This window comes from Homo sapiens, chromosome 7 (genome assembly GCF_000001405.40).
Source record: "Homo sapiens chromosome 7, GRCh38.p14 Primary Assembly".
NCBI lineage: Eukaryota > Metazoa > Chordata > Mammalia > Primates > Hominidae > Homo > Homo sapiens.
In genome coordinates this window covers 42338500-42346065 of record NC_000007.14, presented here as the reverse complement: position 1 = coordinate 42346065, position 7566 = coordinate 42338500, and the positions used below count along the sequence as shown (strand labels likewise).

At 41.4% G+C, this 7566-nt stretch overlaps 1 annotated feature.

The window, feature by feature from the left end:
• Window positions 222–516: a silencer, noted in NCBI's record as "tiled region #1141; HepG2 Repressive non-DNase unmatched - State 24:Quies, and K562 Repressive non-DNase unmatched - State 24:Quies". NCBI's record gives its function as "represses a minimal TATA promoter and a strong SV40 promoter by Sharpr-MPRA in HepG2 and K562 cells {active_cell/tissue: HepG2 | K562}" and the evidence as "EXISTENCE:reporter gene assay evidence [ECO:0000049][PMID:27701403]".

Genomic DNA, 7566 nt, shown 5'->3' with positions numbered 1-7566 from the left:
TTGGTTTGGGAATTCAAGAAGGTCCATTAGCCCAGCTCTGAAGATCAGAAAAGTCACAGTTCAACTCACTTAGAAAAGAATGAGTACATCTTAATTAGGTAAAGAAGGAATACAGGGAGATTGAAGAACATGCTTGGAAAACAAGAGCAAAAGCAGCTTAAACCAGAAGGGAGGTTGTGCTTTCCCCAGAGGGGGGCCAGTAGAACAAGCCACACCTCAGCTGATGGACTAATTTTCTATGTGACTTGGGAAAGGGATGGGTGCTGCACTGTTATAGGAAACAGCAAGAGCTGTCATGTGAGACAGCCCTGGGTCTGAATCCTGGCTCCTTTGCTTCCTAGCCATTGAATATGTAAGCCACTTCACATATGCAAGCCACTTCACATATGCCAGCTCCCTTTCTCTCTGAGCAGAATGCCTAACAATACCCCCCTGGCAGGATGGGGTGAGGATTGAAGGAGCTATGGTTTAGTAAGCCCAGAACACTGCTGTTCCTGATGCCCCTCAAGGCTCTATCACTTTTCTTCTTTATCACAACTATATTATTTAATAAAGTGTTACTATCAACACCATCAATAACTGCCTTATACTGAGCACCTACTGAGTTCATTGTCCCTGTGCCAAGGACAATTGCAGTACCTATTTTCATCCATCTCGCAAACCCCTGAAATAAGCATTATTTTCCCCATTTTGTAGAAGAGAAAGCAGAGGCTTGGAAAGGTGAAGTAACTTTCCCAAGATCCCATGCCCATCTAGAAGCCCAGAACTTGACCAAGGCTGCAAAGCTGTAAGGCTCTCTGGCAACCTCTCTACTCTATGTTTCTCCAAATGGAGCAAATGAGAATCTTTGTGATGTGGCTGCTGATCCACATTTCAGCAGAGTTTTTGGGAAAAATTTGAACAATGAAGAATTATCATTCACAGTCTCAGTCTGTTGAAGGCCTGCACACAGGACTCTGTTTTGAAAGAACACAACGTTTTTTTAATAATATGCCCATGCAGCTTTATTCTTTCTTAATTCCAAAGAGCGACCTTATTCAGGCAATGTCCCTGAGCAGTTATACTCCAGCAAGTCTTGCTAGACTCCTGCTCAACCCTTCCAGCCTCCAGGGGCTCTAGGTGGCTGCAATGTGACTCTAGGAGACCAGTTCCAGACTGAAGACTCCAGTCAGTCAGATGCTGATCAAGGAATAATTTAAACAATCATCATTTAAATGACAACTGCAAGCAGTGGATCCATTCAATCATAGCCAACACATGCACAGCTTCGAACCTCCAATGCCCAGCCTCATGCACTGACCCAGGCCAGGTATGGCCAAGAGCTGATGGGCTCTGGGCCCACAAGATCTACAACCAAAGAATAAGGATGGTGCTCCTCAAGTTCAAGCACCAGTCTGTGCATAACATCTGAGTCGGCAAGACAGGGCTCAAATTGAGCTAAAATACACACTGCCCATCCCCACCCCCACCCTGCTCCTGGGCTGCCCTTTCCTGTCACCTTCCTGAGGCCTTCTGCTTCTGGCCATTTCCTTGTTTAGAGAGAGAACAGAAGGAGCTGCAAACTGGGAAATACATTTTTAATCAGTTACCAGACTCCTTTGAACTTCAACATGAGTACCCTCAAGGTGTGCTTCAAATTTAGAGTGGAAGTTGCCCAGAGAAGCCATCTGAAATAATCCAAACCAGAATGGCAGTGGCCAAGTTCACGAGTGTGTTGGCCAGGCCCCTGAGCCCTGTCTTACTGACTGAGATGTTATGCACAGACTGGTGCTTGAATTTGAGAAGTACCATCCTTACTCTTTGGTTTGCCCTGTAACTCTGGTTACAGAGGTGGGCACTCCCACTGGGTCCTTACTGGGACCAACGTAGTTCTGGGACCCCAAACCCAGTGGGTTTCTCATGTGCAAGCATGAAATTCTGATTATCATTCTTAATATTACTGTTTATTATTTGCATTCCTATGCTAAATAATTAATCTGTGCCAGCAAGCAATGTCCTAAGACTTTACCAATAGTACCTCACTTAGCCTTCACGAAAACCTTGGAAGGTTAGGTTTCTTCATCTGTCACTGTACAAATTAGGAGACTGAGGTTCAGAGAAGTCAAATTGTCCCAGGATACACGGTGGTGAGAGGTGGGACAGGGATTACTAAGGACATGTTGGGATTATTAGGAATAAGGGCTGGAGAGCAGAAACCTGGCTTTAGAGGAAAGGATGTTAATTACTTTTAAGTGACATCTGTGCAATTAGCCCGTATGCTGAACTGATCTTAATTTCCTCTGGGCCACAAATATCCCATCAGGAAAATGGGACTCATTGCTCTGCCCAATAAAGACTGCCTCACTAATTAATTGACTCATCTATATCCCCTAGGTGCTAGGTTCCGACTCTTAATTGTGAAGCACTTAAATCTATCTGCTCCACATTACAAAGAACACTTTACAAAAGGCACGCAGGCTGTGTGGCGTGCTGCGCACATGGGTTAAAATGCAATGTCTGTTTAATGAGCGTTTTCCAACTCAGGCATTGTGCTGGATAGTCTGGAAGCCAAATTTAAACAAATGATGGGGAAGCTGAAGAGAATGCATCTCTTTAGAACAAACAAGGAGATCTTTTTCTAACTGCTTATTTATCACAGACTTTATCTCAGTCTGCTAACAAGTAAAAAGGAAAAGGTGGCAACTGAGTTAGCCTTGTCCATCTACAACTTTAGCCAGCATGTGCTTCTAATGAAGCCAAGCCTTTCTGCTCACAGAATGTTCTATCACCTCCCCTAATTGAAAAGTAATAAAAACATCACAAACAGTGTCAATTACCCATTGAAGGGTCTCTTTCCTACTACTTACTTTTTCAGACATCAAGTGGTTCTGGAAAATACTCCAGGCTGCTTCCCCACTTCCCACTCCCGTAATATTTCTTTCAGAAGTGACGAGAAGAGACAGCATCCCTTGTTGGTGTTGGATCATTAAGTATCTGTCGGAAAATATGACTTAGGTTGGATCCAGACATTCAAACACAGAATGGGGGAAAAAATCAAAATAACTGCAAAAAGTGAGTGTTGGTTAATTACGATCTGAAGTCAATAAAGTCATCTGATGGCAGATTTAGGGGAACTCATTAGAGAGTGGAATTCAATTGTGGAGAACTGCAAGCTGCTACAGCTCTGAAACCAGCACATTTCATTAGGGTCCTCAAATGGGATGAGAGAAATACCTCCAGGGCAGGAGCTCTCCCCCTTCTCTGCAGCCTCACAATGGAAGATCTGTAAAGCATTTGCAGCAGTAGTAAGTAAAGAATAAGATATCCAGGTGTCCCACAGAAGCCACTTCTTTTGCATTTTTCAGAAGGAAATCACAGAAACTCTCAGCTTACTTTTTAAAATGCCAGCCAAACTTAAGAGCCATAAGGATTTCACTGGACACAGCAGCCACAGCCTTCTGCTCAGCTGGCCTCAGGCATTTTAAAGTCGTAGGCTCCAGAGGCTGAGTTGTAGGACCATTTTGAGCATGGCTATTAATAGGAACTTGAGTAGTGTTCAGCTGCAAGCGATGACTGTGAAAACTCCTAGTGAACCATACAGAATATATTTAAGTGTGGAATTCGCTCTACCTGCCCTGAAACTTAAGTCTCCTGAAGTAAAGCTATAAATTAGGCAATGTTTACCTGTGTTTTTTTAACTTTAAGTTCTAGGATACATGTGCAGAATGTGCAGGTTGGTTACATAGGTATACATGTGCCATGGTGCTTTGCTGCACCAATCAACCTGTCATCTAGGTTTTAAGCCCTGCATGCATTAGGTATTTGTCTTAATGCTCTCCCTCCCTGTGCTCCCCGCTCCCCAACAGGCCCCAGTGTGTGATGTTCCCCTCCCTGTGTCCATGTGTTTTCATCGTTCAGCTCCCACTTATAAGTGAGAACATGCGGTATTTGGTTTTCTGTTCCTGTAGTAGTTTGCTGAGAATTATGGTTTCCAGCTTCAACCATGTCCCTGCGAAGGACATGAACTCATTCTTTTTTATGGCTGCTTAGTATTCCATGGTGTATATGTGCCCCATACCTGTAGTTTCTTACAGGCAGAATACTTCCCTTTTGGGGGCCCTCTGTCCCCTGCTCATTTGTCCTCATTGCTTAGGACATGCTCCTCAGTCTCTTAACACTTACCCAATAATCTCTTACATATCAAGCACCTATTTGTGACACCTTGCTAGGCCGGGGTTTGCTAATATTGTTGGAAAAATTAAAATGAACATACGACAAGCATCATCCTATTCTTTTGGAGGTATTGCCTAAAAGAAAAGTGCCCACCGCGTGAAAACAGAAGACAACCATCTACAAGTCAAATTAACCCTGCCCTGATACCTTGATGCCAGACTGCCAGCCTCCAGAACTGTAGGAAAATAAATTTCTGTTGCTTCCTTTTTTTTTTTAAGTGTCTTGTTCTTCTCATTTATCAGACAAGGTGATTTGATGTGAAGTTCACAAAATATGACCCCTGTACATATACCCAGATACTCATTCTAAAAAAAAAATCAAAAAATAACAACAACAAAAGCTAAACACAAAATAGCATGAAATCAGAGCATCTCTTAAAACAATCAGACCCAGAAAAAGGATAAGGAAGAAGGCTGCGAATTATACTGGTAAGTTTATACCGCGGGACTTGTTTACATGGGTGCACTTTTATTGTTTAACCCCTAGAAACCAAGTTTTCTCTGCCTTAAAACATTGAAAGGAAGAACTGGGATCGCATTCTTTCTCTGAAAGTGTTACCTTCCCTTATAGACAAGAGTCTCACAAATCAATATGAAATGGATGGGCCCCAAAATGAAAAAGAAAAATGGGCAAGGGAAATTCAAAAAAGAAGAAATATATGCAAATGTCTAAAGCACATTAAAAGAGAGAAGAATTCAACTTTCTTAATACTCAGTATAAATTAAACAACTATAAGTTGTCATTTTTTATCTGTTGTTAATGTCTGACACTGGTGAGGGTTGGTGAAAAGGGGACTGCAGTTTGCTGTTTAGTGGAGGTGTAAATTGTTACAATCTTTTTGTGGAGCAATTTTCTAATTAGTAATCAGAAAAATGTTCACAGTTTGGGGCCTGATCATTCTCTTTTCAAGAGTGTATCCTTAGGAAATAAGCTGAGATGCATTTGAGGCTCTGAGCACAAAAACATTCATCACCCGCTGCCCCTACCCGCGTCCCCGTCCTGTGGCACGGCTGGGTTAGGGTTAGGTTTCGGATTAGGTAGTTGGGCTGTGGGTAAGCCCCATTGCAATAGCTTCCCCCAGGAGCAGCTCACACTTTTCAAACAGGATGAAGGATTCCAGATGTTCTCCTGACCTCCTGATGGTCTAACCTCATGTCCAGCCCTTGCTCCTTTAACCTAAGGGCTATTAACAGGGTTCCATCTGTGTCTCTACACTCGCTTTGTCTGCACACTGCCCCTCTTCCACTTAGGGTGAGTCATGAGTCCGCCTTTTCTTTCGATTCATTCTCATCTAACAGAAATTGTTGGAGATTCGGTGTGCAAGTTTAGGCTTTCCAAGTGTCAGCACTGGAGCAGTTTTTTCTCTTATTTTTATACCTATTGGTCATTTTAATGGGGATCTGGAAGGAGAGGAATTAGACACTTGTGCTGACATCACATTCTTACCCAGAAGTCCTAGGTTGCTTTTTTAAAACAAAAGAAAATCAGAGGCAGAGAAAGGCAAGGAGTAAGGCGGGAGAGAGAGGGCCCAGGGGAGGCAAAGATCCGTTTGTGAAGCGCCCCTCCGTAATTGTAGATAACTCCCTGCAAGTTTGTCTTCTAGTGTGAATTATTTTAAACACTTTGCCATTTGCCTGAGTCTTAATGAATGAGGATTTTGTGGGAATGGAATTGGGGGTAGGAAGGAAAATTACTGTAAAATAGCAGATTTCTGGGGGAAGAAGAAATTTAAGTGTGATACTATAGTACAGGAATGGGCCTGGCCTGCCTAAGGACTTCTAGAATCTGCAGTCAAGATAACTGGCATCCTGAGAAGCCAAAAGGGAGTGAAATGCACCCAAAAGTAGAATAGGAGGAAAAGTCTAATTGATTTTGTACTCTGTGCAATTTTGCCTACAAATTTGGTGACAGCAACTGCCTTATTTGCAATCCCTGAATCAAATGTTTACCTTGATGAATTGCACTGAGATGTTTGGCTACACAAAAACCATTTCCTCATGGAGAGTTTAATTTAGTTGGCTATTTCAAAAGTGAATATTGAATAGTCACATGCTTTCAAAGTCATGTGTGGATTTGACAGAATACAACCACAGTTTTTTAGTGCCAGAGTTGGTATCACAAAGCCCTTTGGAATATACTGAACCATGCAGTTGTAGTAGCTGTATTAATATTCATCTGAGAGTGACAGCTCTCTCCTCTTCTCTGTCTTCAATGTGGCATATATTTGATATTCTCCTGGTGCTCTTTGATTCTATACAGCACGTCATAGTGAAGACATCCATGCCGACATGGAAAATTCAGGGTTTTTCTGCTATTATTTTTGAATCACTGATAATCCTCACAAAATTGTCATTCAGTTCAACAAAATTTCTTGTTATAACATTCATAAGATGAGTGTGTGTGTCTGGTGTGTCTGCATGTGTGTATGTGTGCATGTGTGCATAAGAAACGTTTCTCAAAACCGGGCTAATTGTAATTGGGAAATGCTTAAGGAAAAAAAGAAAGCTGATCAAGGAAATTTTGGTGATGTTTAACAGCTGTTTTGTGGGTACATATCTGTTATATTTTTTAGACCACAATTAAATGTGATTTTAATAGTCATTTGGTATTTAAATAATATGCTATGATTGTCATATGGAATTTTAATTAAATGCACATTTTCTTCTAAAATATGAAGCGTTACCACTGTGAAAAGACCTTTTCTCTTTAAGAACATATTTAAAAGTAATGTTATGTTCCCTGTGATTCAGTAAAGAAAAAATTCTTTTACAATATTATTTATTCTTCTACATTACTCCAGCGTTTGATGAGTCTTGAGGGAATGAAAGGCAAGAATTTTAAACTGAGTAAATGTTCCCCTAATCTCCTAATGAGGATAATGAAAACAGCACACAGAAGGATATGTTTAAGATAAAACACACTTCAAGTAAATAGCATCTAAGAAGCAGCAGTGACTCCTATTCTGTCTCTATTCTGGGCATTTCCTGCATGCCATGTTTGTGAGGCAGTCTCATTTCATTTCTTTACCTTTGTTCTCATTTTCTTTAGGAAACTTTGTATCTCATACTCTCCGCCCCTCCTCCAGCACGCAAAGCCTGAGAACTTAGATCTTAGTTAAAAGAGAGCTTGTATTTATACATAAAACTTTGCAAATCACCATTCATTCTTTCCACAGACTTTGGGGAATTTCAATGTTTTGGTGCTTACTCAAGTGACATTTTAAAGACCTCTTTGCCTGCTATCATTTTATAGCATTGTTTTTAAAGCATCCTTTCTCTAGTGTTTTCCTTGTATGACCTCTGCTGCCTGTTCACTTATTCTGACCTGTGCTCTCCAAGTGTCTCCTTGTGACCA